At 41.8% G+C, this 17,273-nt stretch overlaps 1 long non-coding RNA gene across 1 annotated transcript in view, besides 1 other annotated feature; it reads left to right on the top strand.

Annotated features, from left to right (window-relative positions):
• The window catches only part of LOC124902662 (uncharacterized), a 46,307-nt gene that overhangs the window by 19,496 nt on the left and 9,538 nt on the right, over positions 1-17,273 (top strand). The gene's annotated exons all lie outside the window — the stretch shown is intronic.
• Positions 1,223-1,723: an enhancer, noted in NCBI's record as "H3K4me1 hESC enhancer chr11:43121800-43122300 (GRCh37/hg19 assembly coordinates)". NCBI's record gives its function as "activates a minimal SCP1, AML or CMV promoter by ChIP-STARR-seq in naive H9 embryonic stem cells {active_cell/tissue: H9 hESC(naive)}" and the evidence as "EXISTENCE:reporter gene assay evidence [ECO:0000049][PMID:30033119]".

Here is a 17,273-nt window from a genome sequence, read left to right as displayed (position 1 = left end):
TTAGAAAAAAAAATCGGAAATCCCAAACACTTCTGGTCCCAAGCATTTTGGATAAGGGATACTCAGCCTGTATCACCACTTGTCAGATGAGGAAACTGAGTTTCAGAAGTAAGCAATTTGTCTTAGGTGGAGCTTGGACTGGAACCAAAAGAGAGTATTCTTCACTGTCTACACTTAAATTATTCCAATGTTTCCTTTTGTGAGCATTTACTATACTCCAGGCACGGCTTATCAGATCCTCTATGAGTCATATGCCATCCAGGGTTTCTCACTGGAATTATGCTGTACTTACTTACGGGAGCTGAGAAGGCAGCCTGTGGAAGGTTGTTGCCTCTGTTGCTGGTCATGGCCTGGTCACTGAAAGTCAGCAGCATGGACAGTTAGAAAGAACTGGCTGTAAATTGTAGGAGAGGTAGGACAAACTATAATCTTGTCTGTTTTTCCACCTCCACCATCTTGGAGATGTGAGTAACTTACAGAAAGGCTGTCAGGTGCTCTGCCCTGGGACTCAAAGAAGCTGAAGAGCAAGGCCAAGCAACAACTAACATGGGTGCCAACAGACCAGCTACCAGATGGGTGAGCTGCAGTGGTGCCTGACCCTACACTGACCTTCAGAGCCCAGTGGCTACTGCTTCACTTCTGCCTTCCTGATCTCATGCAAATTTCTTTGTGACCAACCCTAACCCAGGACCATTCAGGTCAGGGGATTCTGGGAAATGTAGTTCCAGCTTGTCTAAATTGACTGTAGGAAAACACATTGTGGATTTTTTTTTTTTTAACCACCAGCTTTACTGAGGTATAGAAATTAAAATTGTGTAAATGGGGGTGGAGCCAAGATGGCCAAATAGGAACAGCTCTGGTCTACAGCTCCCAGCGTGAGTGATGCAGAAGATGGGTGATTTCTGCATTTCCATCTGAGGTACCGGGTTCATCTCACTAAGGAGTGCCAGACAGTGGGCGCAGGTCAGTGGGTGCAGCACACCGTGTGCGAGCTGAAGCAGGGCGAGGCATTGCCTCACTTGGGAAGCACAAGGGGTCAGGGAGTTCCCTTTCCTAGTCAAAGAAAGGGGTGACAGAGGGCACCTGGAAAATCGGGTCACTCCCACCCTAATACTGTGCTTTTCTGATGGGCTTAAAAAACGGTGCACCAGGAGATTATATCCCACACCTGGCTTGGAGGGTCCTACACCCACGGAGTCTCGCTGATTGCTAGCACAGCAGTCTGAGATCAAACTGCAAGGCAACAGTGAGGCTGGGGGAGGGGTGCCTGCCATTGCCTAGGCTTGCTTAGGTAAACAAAGCAGCCGGGAAGCTCCAACTGGGTGGAGCCCACCACAGCTCAAGGAGGCCTGCCTGCTTCTGTAGGCTCCATCTCTGGGGGCAGGGTGCAGACAAACAAAAAGACAGAAGTAACTGCTGCAGACTTAAATATCCCTGTCTGACAGCTTTGAAGAGAGCAGTGGTTCCCCCAGCACACAGCTGGAGATCTGAGAATGGGCAGACAGCCTCCTCAAGTGGGTCCCTGACCCCTGACCCCTGAGCAGCCTAACTGGGAGGCACCCCCCAGTAGGGGCAGACACCTCACATGGCCGGGTACTCCTCTGAGACAAAACTTCCAGAGGAACAATCGGACAGCAGCATTCACGGTTCACGAAAATCCGCTGTTCTGCAGCCACAGCTGCTGGTACCCAGGCAAACAGGGTCTGGAGTGGACCTCTAGCAAACTCCAACAGACCTGCAGCTGACGGTCCTGACTGTTAGAAGGAAAACTAACAAACAGAAAGGACATACACACCAAAAACCCATCTGTACATCACCATCATCAAAGACCGAAATTAGATAAAATCACAAAGATGGGGAAAAAACAGAGCAGAAAAACTGGAAACTCTAAAAAGCAGAGCACCTCTCCTCCTCCAAAGGAACGCAGTTCCTCACCAGCAACGGAACAAAGCTGGATGGAGAGTGACTTTGACGAGTTGAGAGAAGAAGGCTTCAGACGATCAAGCTACTCCGAGCTACAGGAGGAAATTCAAACCAAAGGCAAAGAAGTTAAAAACTTTGAAAAAAATTTAGAGGAATGTATAACTAGAATAACCAATACAGTGAAGTGCTTAAAGGAGCTGATGGAGCTGAAAACCAAGGCTCGAGACCTACATGAAGAATGCAGAAGCCTCAGGAGCCGATGTGATCAACTGGAAGAAAGGGTATCAGTGATGGAAGATGAAATGAATAAAATGAAGCAAGAAGGGAAGTTTAGAGAAAAAAAAGTAACAAACAAAGCCTCCAAGAAATATGGGACTATGTGAAAAGACCAAATCTACGTATGATTGGTGTACCTGAAAGTGACGGTGAGAATGGAACCAAGTTGGAAAACACTCTGCAGGATATTATCCAGGAGAACTTCCCCAATCTAGCAAGGCAGGCCAACATTCACTTTCAGGAAATACAGAGAACGCCACAAAGATACTCCTCAAGAAGAGCAACTCCAAGACACATAATTGTCAGATTCACCAAAGTTGAAATGAAGGAAAAAATGTTAAGGGCAGCCAGAGAGAAAGGTCAGGTTACCCACAAAGGGAAGCCGATCAGACTAACAGCTGATCTCTCAGCAGAAACTCTACAAGCCAGAAGAGAGTGGGGGCCAATATTCAACATTCTTAAAGAAATGAATTTTCAACGCAGAATTTCATATCCAGCCAAACTAAGCTTCATAAGTGAAGGAGAAATAAAATACTTTACAGACAAGCAAGTGCTGAGAGATTTTGTCACCACCAGGCCTGCCCTAAAAGAGCTCCTGAAGGAAGCACTAAACATGGAAAGGAACAGCCGGTACCAGCCACTGCAAAATCATGCCAAATTGTAAAGACCATTGAGGCTAGGAAGAAACTGCATCAATTAACGAGCAAAATAACCAGCTAGCATCATAATGGCAGGATCATATTCACACAAAACGATATTAAATTTAAGTGTAAATGGACTAAATGCTCCAATTAAAAGACATAGACTGGCAAATTGGATAAAGCGTCAAGACCCATCAGTGTGCTGTATTCAGGAAACCCATCTCACATGCAGAGACACACATAGGCTCAAAATAAAAGGATGGAGGAAGATCTACCAAGCAAATGGAAAACAAAAAAAGGCAGGGGTTGCAATCCTAGTCTCTGATAAAACAGAGTTTAAACCAACAAAGATCAAAAGAGACAAAGAAGGCCATTACATAATGGTAGAAGGATCAATTCAACAAGAAGAACTAACTATCCTAAATATATATGCACCCAATACAGGAGCACCCAGATTCATAAAGCAAGTCCTGAGTGACCTACAAAGAGACTTAGACTCCCACACAATAATAATTGGAGACTTTAACACCCCACTGTCAACATTAGACAGATCAATGAGACAGAAAGTTAACAAGGATACCCAGGAATTGAACTCAGCTCTGCACCAAGTGGACCTAATAGACAGCTACAGATCTCTCCACCCCAAATCAACAGAATATGCATTTTTTTCAGCACCACACCACACCTATTCCAACATTGACCACATACTTGGAAGTAAAGCTCTCCTCAGCAAATGTAAAAGATCAGAAATTATAACAAACTGTCTCTCAGACCACGGTGCAATCAAACTAGAACTCAGGATTAAGAAACTCACTCAAAACCGCTCAACTACATGGAAACTGAACAACCTGCTCCTGAATGACTACTGGGTACATAATGAAATGAAGGCAGAAATAAGATGTTCTTTGAAACCAACGAGAACAAAGACACAACATACCAGAATCTCTGGGACACATTGAAAGCAGTGTGTAGAGGGAAATTTGTAGCATTAAATGCCCACAAGAGAAAGCAGGAAAGACCCAAAATTGACACCCTAACATCACAATTAAAAGAACTAGAAAAGCAAGAGCAAACACATTCAAAAGCTAGCAGAAGGCAAGAAATAACTAAAATCAGAGCAGAACTGAAGGAAATAAAGACACAAAAAAACCTTCAAAAAATTAAGGAATCCAGGAGCTGGTTTTTTGAAAGGATCAACAAAATTAATAGACCACTAGCAAGACGAATAAAGAAGAAAAGAGAGAAGAATCAAATAGACACAATAAAAAATGATTAAGGGGATATCACCACCAATCCCACAGAAATACAAACTACCATCAGAGAATACTACAAACACCTCTACGCAAATAAACTAGAAAATCTGGAAGAAATGGATAAATTCCTGGGCACATACACCCTCCCAAGACTAAACCAGGAAGAAGTTGAATCTCTGAATAGACCAATAACACGCTCTGAAATTGTGGCAATAATCAATAGTTTACCAACCAAAAAGAGTCCAGGACCACATGGATTCACAGCCAAATTCTACCAGAGGTACAAGGAGGAGCTGGTACCATTCCTTCTGAAACTATTCCAATCAATAGAAAAAGAGGGAATCTTCCCTAACTCATTTTATGAGGCCAGCATCATCCTGATACCAAAGCCTGGCAGAGACACAACCAAAAAAGAGAATTTTAGACAAATATCCTTGATGAACATTGATGCAAAAATCCTCAATAAAATACTGGCAAAATGAATCCAGCAGCACATCAAAAAGCTTATCCACCATCATCAAGTGGGCTTCATCCCTGGGATGCAAGGCTGGTTCAACATACACAAATCAATAAATGTAATCCAGTATATAAACAGAACCAAAGACAAAAACCACATGATTATCTCAATAGATGCAGAAAAGGCCTTTGACAAAATTCAACAACCCTTCATGCTAAAAACTCTCAATAAATTAGGTATTGATGGGACGTATTTCAAAATAATAAGAGCTATCTATGACAAACTCACAGCCAATATCATACTGAATGGGCAAAAACTGGAAGCATTTCCTTTGAAAACTGGCATAAGACAGGGATTCCCTCTCTCACCACTCCTATTCAACATAGTGTTGGAAGTTCTGGCCAGGGCAATTAGGCAGGAGAAGGAAATAAAGGGTATTCAATTAGAAATCAAATTGTCCCTGTTTGCAGATGACATGATTGTATATCTAGAAAACCCCATTGTCTCAGCCCAAAATCTCCTTAAGCTGATAAGCAACTTCAGCAAAGTCTCAGGATACAAAATCAATGTACAAAAATCACAGGCATTCTTATACACCAATAACAGACAAACAGAGAGCCAAATCTTGAGTGAACTCCCATTCACAATTTCTTCAAAGAGAATAAAATACCTAGGAATCCAATTTACAAGGGACATGAAGGAGCTCATCAAGGAGAACTACAAAACACTGCTCAATGAAATAAAAGAGGATACAAACAAATGGAAGAACGTTCCATGCTCATGGGTTGGAAGAATCAGTATCGTGAAAATGGCCATACTGCCCAAGGTAATTTATAGATTCAATGCCATTCCCATCAAGCTACCAATGACTTTCTTCACAGAATTGGAAAAAACTACTTTAAAGTTCATATGGAACCAAAAAAGAGCCCGCATTGCCAAGTCAATCCTAAGCCAAAAGAACAAAGCTGGAGGCATCACGCTACCTGACTTCAAACTATACTACAAGGCTGCAGTAACCAAAACAGCATGGTATTGGTACCAAAACAGAGATATAGATCAATGGAACAGAACAGAGCCCTCAGAAATAACACCGCATATCTACAACTATCTGATCTTTGACAAACCTGAGAAAAACAAGCAATGGGGAAAGGATTCCCTATTTAATAAATGGTGCTGAGAAAACTGGCTAGCCATATGTAGAAAGCTGAAACTGGATCCCTTCCTTACACCTTATACAAAAATCAATTCAAGATGGATTAAAGACTTAAACGTTAGACCTAAAACCATAAAAACCCTAGAGGAAAACCTAGGCATTACCATTCAGGACATAGGCGTGGGCAAGGACTTCATGTCCAAAACACAAAAAGCAATGGCAACAAAAGCCAAAATTGACAAATGGGATCTAATTAAACTAAAGAGCTTCTGCATGCAAAAGAAACTACCATCAGAGTGAATAGGCAACCTACAGAATGGGAGAAAATTTTCGCAATCTACTCATCTGACAAAGGGCTAATATCCAGAATCTACAATGAACTCAATCGAATTTACAAGAAAAAAAACAAACAACCCCATCAAAAAGTGGGCGAAGGTCATGAACAGACACTTCTCAAAAGAAGACATTTATGCAGCCAAAAAACACATGAAAAAATGCTCATCATCACTGGCCATCAGACAAATGCAAATCAAAACCACAATGAGATACCATCTCACACCAGTTAGAATGGCAATCATTAAAAAGTCAGGAAACAACAGGTATTGGAGAGGATGTGGAGAAATAGGAACACTTTTACACTGTTGGTGGGACTGTAAACTAGTTCAACCATTGTGGAAGTCAATGTGGCGATTCCTCAGGGATCTAGAACTAGAAATACTATTTGACCCAGCAATCCCATTACTGGGTATATACCCAAAGGACTATAAATCATGCTGCTATAAAGACACATGCACATGTATGTTTATTGCGGCACTATTCACAATAGCAAAGACTTAGAACCAAGCCAAATGTCCAACAATGATAGACTGGATTAAGAAAATGTGGCACATATACATCATGGAATACTATGCAGCCATAAAAAATGATGAGTTTATGTCCTTTGTAGGGACATGGATGAAATTGGAAATCATCATTCTCAGTAAACTACTGCAAGAACAAAAAACCAAACACTGCATATTCTCACTCATAGGTGGGAATTGAACAATGAGAACACATGGACACAGGAAGGGGAACATCACACTCTGGGGCCTGTTGTGGGGTGGGGGGAGGGGGTGGGAGGGTAGCTTTAGGAGATATATCTAATGCTAAATGACGACTTAATGGGTGCAGCACACCAGCATGGCACATGTATACATATGTAACTAACCTGCACATTGTGCACATGTACCCTAAAACTTAAAGTATAATAATAATAAAATAAAAAAATAAAAAAATTTGTGTAAATGTAAGATGCGTAGTCTAATGATTTGATATATGTATGCATTGTGGATTGATTACCACAATCAACCTAATTCACATATGCATCACTCCACATAGTTACCATTGTGGGTTTTGTGTGTGTGTGGTGAGAATATTTAATATTTACTTCCTCTGCAGAATTCAAATATACATTACATTGTTATTATTCATAGTCACCATGCTGTACATTAGATCTCCAGAATTTAGTAATCATGTAAAACTGAAATTTTGTGCTCTTTGACCCACATCTCCCCATTCCCTAGCCAGCCTCTGGCAACCACGATTCTACTGTCTGCTTTTTTGAAATTCTTTTGCATATACTATTTCATTGATCTTCAAAGCAATCATCTAAGGCAGAAGGTCCATTTTCCAGATGGGGAATTAACAGGTTACATAACTGTTCTAAGATACAAATTTGCCTAAGGTATACAACCCCAGTATGGGGTTTTGAACTCAAATCTGTTCTGTGTGACTTCCAACTTTTTCATAGCCACTGCACGATGCTGCACACTAATTTTTCTCTAAGTATCACTCTGTGCTACTTGTATGGGCACTGATGACACTGACATAAAGTAAGAGGGGTGACACAATACTGCTCAGGGTATATTTGGACCCCAAAATTCTTTTCTCTCCTATCCTCATTTCCTAGACTTGAGCTTCCTAGACAGGACACTGAGATTGGGTTAAGGCTTGCTGAGATATTGATCCACCCCTCCCCTCACACACACCTTGGAGTGGGCTGGGCAGAAGGAGCTCTGGGAAGGTATCTCCAAGCCCTTAGCAGTCTCATCCCTTTACCATGTGTGTGCCATGTCTTGAAGGCTGGGGAGCAATACTATGGTCTCCTGGGAAATGGCTTACCTCAGAGAGATGGGCTTTGTTGGCCTCTTGGAGAAGAACCTAGGAGAGAAGTGGGGTGACCTGAAGTACACTCTGTTAGCATGATTGAAGCTGGCTGCAGACAGTGGTGGAAAAAGCCTTCCTGTGACACTGTCAGGCTCCCGGGTAGCAGCCAGGTATCTTGGTTTTGATTTTTGTTTTATAAACATTTTCTCTGCCTGTCGGTTCTCCAAATGGAGCCAAACACATCTCTGTGGCAGCTGAGGCATAAGAGCCCCAGTGAATATGGAGGAAGCTCTGCTCCAAAACAGGCATAAAAGGGAGAAAAAAAAAGGTTTGTTTTTTTATCACAGAGTCTGGACAATACTGAGGGGGAAAAAATCACATTACAGAATGTTAAATGGAAAATGTTTTTCTCCTTCTGGAGCTGCAGTGGAGGCTCATGAGCTGAGGACATTGGTTGGTAATGCTTACATCCTCTGTAAAGAAAGTTATCAATACCATTTGTGCAAGACATGCTAAGAGATGACCACCAATGCCCATTCCTCTTAACGAGTGCATTTAAGAAAAGCCTAGACATTCTTTAAGACAAAGCAAAACAAAATTTGTCTCTTAGGTTGGAGTATTAGTCTGTTCTCATGCTTCTAATAAAAACATAGCTGAGACTGGGTAATATATAAAGGAAGGAGATTTAATGGACTCACAGTTTCACGTGGCTGGAGAGGCCTCACAATCATGGCGGAAGGTGAAAGACATATCTTACATGGCAGCAGGCAAGAGATAATGAGAGCCAAGTGAAAGGAGAAACCCTTATAAAACCGTCAGCTCTCGTGAGACTTATTCACCACCACGAGACCAGCATGGGGGACACCTTTCCCCTCATGATTCAATTATCTCCCACCAGGTCCCTCCCACAACATGTGGGAATTATGGGAGCTACAATTCAAGATGAGATTTGGGTGGGAACACAGCCAAACCATATCAGTTGGATTCTCCCAGAAGCAGAACCCCTCAGCTCAAATAATTTCCAAGTAATTTATTTAAAAAGTGTTCCCAAGAGAAACCAGCAAGGAAGTGGGAGAATGGACAAGGAAGAGGAAGACTCAAACAAGGTGAAATCCCTGAGGCTTGGGTGTGTAAATGACACCTCCAGGTTTTTTCTGCCTCAAGGCAAAAGTACCCTCACATGGAGCCTGCTCTCAGCTTTCAATGCTCAGTCATCTGTAGGTCACTAGTGGGATTATCAACAGCAAAGCATTACAGAATCTGGGGAATGAGGTGATAAAAGGGGTCCCAGGGAGACTTAGGTACAGGAGGTGCCGCAGTGTCTTCTACAGAAGGAAATTTGCAGAGTAGAAAGCACTTCCTCTCCCCACCCCTGCATCTCAAGCCAAAAGAAGGAGCCCTAAGAGAATTACTCACAGAGACTTGGGCTGTTGGCACAGGAAGAGCTTTGTTTCTCTCGCATCTCTGCTCTAGTCTAGCAGGATGCTTGCTGAGCTGAAGGAACTCTTAGGCCCACACGAGGCTGCCACTGCGCCAGAGTGGAGTGTGATGAGAGTTCTGGGGAGAGCTTGATTTGTGCCTTCTCGACTTTCGTGGGCATCAAGGCTGGAGAAATGGAATGAAGAACAGCTCACAAGGGCATGGTGAGGAGCTGGGCTGGAAGTGGGAGCTTTGTGCCTCCTGGAGGCTACAAGGTTTAGTGATCAAGGGTAGAGACCTCAGAGCTAGATTGCCCAGGTTTGAATCTTGGCTCTGCTGTTTACTAGCTGTGCAATCTTGGGCAAATTTCTTGCGCTCTCTGTATCTCATTTTCCCTATGAATAAAATGGGGATAATACTATCACCTTCTTCATGGGGTTGTTATAAATATTAAATGCAGACTTGGCATATGTAAGTGCTTAATCTACTGCATACACCAGACACACACACATACACGCACATATATAATACACAATATAATCCAATATATATCTTATATTTTAGATATTACTAAGCAATTACTCAGTCATTCTGTAACCAGGCATCTGACTTTAAAGACTATGGTCTCAATCCTAAGCCCCCATTGTTAAAAACAGAAGAATCATACTTGAAAAAAAAAAAGAAACTATGGTCTCAATCACTACACTGTACTGATCTTGAATACATATTGTATTGCAAAAGATAAGCTAGTGAGCTTTGAAGTCAGCTGGCTTGGATCTAAATCCTAACTCTGCTATTACAATTTACTGTGTCACCTTGAAAAATTATTGAGCCTTTCCAAGATTAAAATCATATCACCTTCATTGAATTGTTAGAATTAGAAGAGATAACATGTATAAAGTATATAGCAGAGTGCCTAGCATAGAGTAAGTTCTTGGTTAACTATTATTGTGCTATTTCCCTAGGCCTGGTTCCAGTGCTGGCTTTTTGTCCCTGTTGAGAAACTGCAGGCTTGGGGTGGGGAGAAGGGGAAAAGAGAGAGGCAGCAAAACCAGTATGAGAAATGCATCTCTCCATGAGAGGGTCTAGGACAAAGAAAAGGGAAAGAGAAAAAAGAATTAAAAGTGATGAAAATGTCACCGACTATTCATTAGTGACTTGGGACTTTAAGTATTAGTCATTTGACTTTCCTTTTGTGTTTTATTTATTTTCTACTCAGCATCATCAAGCCCTGAGTTAGGTTTTAAAATTGAATGAATCATCCCCTTATCCTTGAGAACTGCATCAGGGACACAAAATATTATCCTCATTTCACCAGTGAGAAACTGATAAACAGAGAGGCCAAGGGATTGGTGCAAGTTCACAAATCTAGAAATAGTATCTGTGGTCAGGAGGCTGGCCTTCAGATTTCGCTGCATCCCCGGGTTGTAGGAGGCAGGCTCTGTCAGGAGGTGAACAGCAAAAGCGGCTTTATGAACATGGAAGACATGGGGAAAACACTATGTCAGTTGATCACCTATCATGTGGCAGCTACTATGTGAAACATTTTACATTTGTGTTATGTCAAATTCTCACAACCATCCTATGAACCTACGTATAAATCCTATTGGGTTCTATAGTCTCAATAGATACATGAGCCAGCTCAGGAGGATTTAAACTGGTGTTCCTGACTCCAGAATTTGTAATGTTCTCATTATGTCAGGCTGCTCTTGGATAGTTGGTTCTTGTTTCTATTTCAGAAGGAGTCTGAAGGCTAGTGGGGTGAATCTTTGTATTCAAAGCCACCTCCACCTCCCCACCCAGTTCTAGGAATCCCTGATCCTATTCTGTGGCAACGGGTTGCTCCCATTTCCATTTGTTTGCTGCCACTTCCTGCTCTCTCCCCGCTCTCTAAAACCTGAGAACTGGAGGGATCTTAGTGATATTTTCCAGGGATGACAAACCCTTTGCAACCATGCAAGTATTTAGACAGTGGTTATTTACTATATAACGTAATTCATATCTATAGATATTTGTTGACTCTTGGCTCAAGCCAATACCTTGTTAGATTCATTTCTTTATCTCTGGAACCTGGCAAGACTAATCACCCTGTTCTAGCCCATAGCTCAGTTCAAATCCACAAGATTCCAATAGCAATAACAATAATAGTAATAGTAGTAGAAAAATAACTACCATATAACAAACCAGTGGCTCATACAAACCTTATTTCTTCTTAAAAAAAACAGGTAATAGCTATGTTTATTTTTCCTAATTTTAAAGATAATGAAACTGGGAGTTAGAGAAGTTAACTTAGTTGTCTAGAGGCACACATCTAGTAAGAGAAAAAGCTGGGATTTGAACCTAGGCATGGTTAATTCCAGAGCCTCTCCTTTTAATAATTTACCTTCTTAGTCAGTTAGCAATTGTTGGGCAGCAAACCATTCCAAAACTTAGAGACCTAAAATAGCATCATTTTATATAGCTCATTATAATCTTGTGTCCCAGCTGGGACGTTTTTCTGCTTTGGGCATAGCAGCTGATCTCTACTGTGTCCTGTCACGCATCTGTGGTCTGGGGTCACTGGGAACTGGATGGTCTAGGATGGCCTCAATTACATGTGTGAACACTGACTGGGCATTGGCAGGAGTGCCCTGGTTCTTCTCTATCAGCCTCTCATCTTTCAGCTGCTACTCTGGGCTTGTTCCCTTAGATCTCAGGGTTCTAAGCATAGCAAGAAGGCAAGATCCAATGCACCATCACTCTTCTTTTCTTTTCTTTTCTTTTCTTTTCTTTTCTTTTCTTTTCTTTTCTTTTCCTTTTCTTTCTTTCTTCCTTCCTTTCTTCTTTCTTTTTTGATGGAGTCTTGCTCTGTCGCCCAGGCTGGAGTGAAGTGGCACGATCTCAACTCACTGCTTGCCCCCTTCCTCCCTCCCTGTTAGCCAAAGAAAGTCATGTGGCCAACCCAGATTCCAAGGTGGAGAATTAGATTCCACCTCTCAATAATAGAAGAGGCATTTTCATCCAGTTTTGCAGTCACCACCCTTATTCTCTGCCAGGTCACTCAGTCTGGTGAGAAGGAGAGATACGTAGACAGATAAATGACAAGACATTCTGAAAACTGCTTACAAATATGGAGGCTGCCTGTTTCACCAGCCTACAAAATGCTTTGGGCAGCACAGAGCTTGGCAGTTTCATGTGCATGAGATTTTCTTGGAAAAGGAGCAGCGCAGTCCATGGAACTGCCTGGACACTGGGCAGTTTTAGTAGTGAGAAGCCCTCATGTCCGTGATAACCTAGCCCTTGAAAACCTTCATTATTTTCTGAGTAAGACTTTGCATCATCCCTGCATCGTTGCCCCTCACCCTGCCCCCGAGGAGCCTGGCACAGTCTAGAAGTCCAGCTGGACATCTGTTCTAGGGAATACAAAATTAACTTTATGGCCAGAAAGTGCCAAGCATAACTCAATGTAGTTTCATCTACTTTGGGTATTTAACAGCCCTAGATTAAGCACAGCTAGTTTTGTCACATTGGGAAAAACGTCTGTTACATAGTTATGCTCTTTTCGAGGCTATTTATTCCAGCTTTTAATGGTGTGTCTTAGGTGCTTCTGTAAGTAAGCAAGGTTGCATGTGTGGGACACCTCATGGGGAGCTCCTTGAGGCTTTAGGCTGTGATGGAGCCCTGGCTGTTCTCCAGTGGGATCCAGTTCCACTCATCACTTTCCTTCCACTGCAAATGGAAACAGAATAATGTGGTTAATTGTGCACACTCTGAGCAAGATTGGGTTCAAATCCTGGCTCAACTACTTACTCACTCTGTGATTGGGGTGAGTTATGTACATTTTTTTGTGTTTCCATTTCTTAATCAGTAAAATGAAGATAACAATAGCAACAATTCATAAGGTTATTGTGAGGATAAAATAAGTTAACATGTATAAAGTGCTTAGACTAGTGCACATACACAGTAAGCCTTAATAAATATAGCTGTCATTATTAATAACAACAAATACTCTTATTAGTATTGTTATTCAGCAATGATTCGAACACCTTGTGGAATAACAGCATTAACTCAGAAAGCTTATTAAAAATAACATTGTGTGTTATACTCCTGGAGATTCTGATTATGAGATGCTCAGGAATTCATACATTTTATCAAGGGTCATTTTAAAGCAGCCAGTGCCCAGACCAGCATGTTTGCCTTATAAAACTTGGCACATTTCCTTCGACACTTAACACCTGGGGCTATTGAGATCGCTTAGAAACGGTCTCTTGGGGGAGACATATTTGTAAAAACATCTTTTCATTCCCCTGAAGACCCTACATGCAAAATACACTCACCCATTCTCCAAGAGAAAATTCAGGACACTGTCCTTGCCCTCAAGCTGTTTAGTATTTTTCCTAGAAGGAGGCTCTAATGAGGAACTGATGTTCCTAATTACTGACAATAATAGCTTACATTACTGAGTACATGCTGAGTGTCAAGAACTATGTGAGATTATTTGGGTTAGCACTTTTAATCCTTCCAGTAATCCGATGAAATAGGCACTCTGTTATGAGGAAACTGCAGCTTACTGAACTGAATATCATTGCCAAGATCACCCAGTTAATTGATAGTTAAGCCAGCTACATAAATGTTGTTTCAGGACTTAAACCTAGGCTTTCAGCCTTCCAGGCCTATGTCTTGTACTATCAATCTAAACTGCTGTTTTGACAGAGAATGCTAGTTGTATCTTGTTTCTGTCCTTAATAAATTTCCCTAATAACAGAACCTCAAGATTTAGCTGGGCACATTGCCACCCAAAATAAAACAATATTTTCCATCCTTTCTTCAGGTAAATGTCCACATAGCTAAGTTCTGACTAAAGGAATATGAATGAAAGTGACATATATAAATCCAGATCATCCCTTGAAGGGAAAGAGCATGCCCCACCCCCTTCCCCTTTAACTCTTGTGCTGGAATAAGACCATCATTGTGTGCCATCTTGAAACTTAAAGATGATGGTGTTATCCTAGGAAATGTGGAGGAAAAACACAGAAAGAACTTGAGCCCTTGACATTGACAGATATTATGAACTGCTTATGTAAATGTAGGTTATAAAATGAGAAATAAATAAATAAATTTGAGACCAAATTTTGGGTCTTGAAGTAAAATTGTCCCTGTTTGCCAATGACATAATCTTACATACAGAAACCTTAGAAGTTCCACTAAAAACTCATACCTGATAAACAAATTCGGCAAAGTTGTGGGATACAAAATCAACATACAAAAATTAGTTGTGTTGTGTTTATATATGCCAACAACAAACTAAGAGAAAAAAAAGTCAAGAAAACAATCCCATTTATAATATAGTTGTAAAAAATTTTAAAATACCTAGGAATTAATTAACCAAATAGATAAAGGTCTCTGCAAGAAAAACTATTAAACACTGATGAAAAAATTGAAGAGGATACACACACACAGACAAACAAGAAGACATTCTATGTTCATGGATTAGAATAACTAATATTGTGAAAATTACCATATTACCGAAAGTGATCTACAGATTCATTGCAATCCCTATCAACATACTGATATGGTTGGGATTTGTGTTCCTGTCCAACTCTCACGTTGAATTGTAATCTCCAGTGTTAGAGAAGGAGCTTGGTGGGAGGTGATTGTATAATGGGGTGGATGTCCCCCTTACTGTTCTCATGATAGTGAGTGAGTTCCCAGGAGATCTGGTTGTTTAAAAGTGTGTAGCACTTCCCCCTCCACTCTCTTCCTCCTGCTCCAGCCATATAGGATGTGCCTCCTTCCCCTTTGCCTTCCGTCATGATAGTAAGTTTCCTGGGGCTTCCCCAGCCATGCTTCCTGTGCAGCCTGTGGAACCGTGAGTGAATTAAACCTCTTTTCTTTATAAATTGCCCAGTCTCGGGTAGTTCTTTATAGCAATGTGAAAATGGACTAATACAGAAAACTGGTACCAATAGTGCGGTATTGCTGTAAAGATACATGAAAATGTGGAAGTGACTTTGGAACTGGGTAATGGGAAGAGGTTGGAAGAGAGTGGAGGGCTGAAAAGAAGACAGGAAGATGAGAGAAAGTTTGGAACTTCCTAGAGACTTGTTAATTTGTTGTGACCAAAATGCTGATAGTGCTATGAACAATGATGTCTAGGCTAAGGTGGTCTGAGATGGAGATAAGGAACTTATTGGGAACTGAAGCAAAGGCCACTATTGTTATGTATTAGCAAAGAGGTTGGAGGCATTGTACCCCTGTCCTAGAGCTCTGTGGAACTTTGAAATTGAGAGAAATGATTTAGGGTATCTGGAGGAAGAAATTTCTAAGCAGCAAAGCATTCAAGATGTGGTCTGGCTGCTTCTAAGAGCATATGCTCATATACTTGAGCAAGGAGATGATCTGAAACTGAAATTTATATTTAAAAGGGAAGCAGAATGTAAAAGTTTGGAAAATTTACAGCCTGGCCATGTGTTAGAAAAGATAAACCCATTTTCTGGGGAGGAATTCAAGCCAGCTACAGAAATTTGCATGTGTAAAAAGGAGCCAAATGTTGATAGCCAAGTTAATAGGGAAAATGCCTCAAAGGCATTTCAGAGACTTTCTTGGCAGCCCCTCCCATCACAGGCCTGGAGGTCTAGGAGGGAAGAATGATTTTGTGGGCCAGGACCAGGGCCCTGTTGCTCTGTGCAGCCTCAGGATATGGTACCCTGCATCATTTCTGCTCCAGCTCCAGCTATGGCTAAAACAGGCCAAAGTACAGCTTGGGCATTGCTTGAAAAGGTGCAAGCTATAAGCCTTGGCAACTTCCACATGATGTTAAGCCTGCAGATGTGCAGAAGGCAAAAGTTGAGGCTTGGGAGCCTCTGCCTAGATTTCAGAGGATGTATGGAAATGCCTGGATGTCCAGGCAGAAGTCTGCTGCAGGGCAGAGCCCTCATGGGGAACCTCTACTAGGGCAGTGTGGAAGAGACATGTGGGGGTGGAGCCCCCAAACAAAGTCCCCACTGGAGCACTGTCCAGAAGAAGGCTACCATCCTCCAGTCCCCAAATTGGTAGATCCACTGACAGCTTGCACTGTGCACCTGGAAAACCCTCAGGCACTCAATGCTAGCTTGTGCAAGCAGCAAAGGAGGCTGTACTCTGCAGAGCCACATGGGTGGAGATTCCCAAGCCCTTGGGAGCCCACCCCTTGCATCAGTGTGGCCTGGATGTGAGACATGGAATCAAAGGAAATTATTTTGAAGTTTTAACAACTGCCCTGCAGGATTTTGGAGTTTCATGGGGCCTGTAGCCCCTTTGTTTTAGCAGATTTCTCCCTTTTGAAATGGGTGTATTTACCCAATGCCTGTGACCCCATTGTATCTTGGAAATAACTAACTTGGTTTTGATTTTACAAGCTCATAGATAGAAGAGACTTGCCTTGTCTCAGATGAGAATTTGGATGTGAACTTTTGAGTTAATGCTGAAATGAGTTAAGACTTGGGGGACTGTTGAGAAGGGATGATTGTATTTTGCAATGTGAGAAGGACATGAGATTTGGGAGGGGCCACAGGCATAAGGATATGGTTTGGATTTGTGTTCCTGCCCTACTCTCATGTCAAAATGTAGTTGTCAAAATGTAGTAATCCCCAATGTTGGAGGAGGGGCCTGGTGGGAGGTGATTGGATCATGGGGGCAGACTTCTCACTTCTTGTTCTTGTGACAGTGAGTGAATTCTCAGGAGGTCTGGTGGTTTGAAGGTGTGTAGCACTTCCCCCTTCACTCTCTTCCTCCTGGTCCAGCCATGTAGGATGTGTCTCCTTCCCCCTTGCCTTCCACTATGATTGTAAGTTCCCTGAGGCTTCACCATCCTGTGGAACTGTGAGCCAATTAAACCTCTTTTCTTTATAAATTACCCAGTCTCAGGTAGTTCTTTATAGCAATGTGAGAACAGACTAATATATATACCAATGACATTCTTCACAAAAATATAGTAAACAGTCCTAAAATTTCTATGGAACCACAAAAGACCCTGAATAGTCAAAGTA

The sequence above is a fragment of the Homo sapiens genome, chromosome 11, assembly GCF_000001405.40.
Source record: "Homo sapiens chromosome 11, GRCh38.p14 Primary Assembly".
Classification (NCBI taxonomy): domain Eukaryota; kingdom Metazoa; phylum Chordata; class Mammalia; order Primates; family Hominidae; genus Homo; species Homo sapiens.
This window is presented reverse-complemented; position numbering and strand designations above follow the sequence as displayed.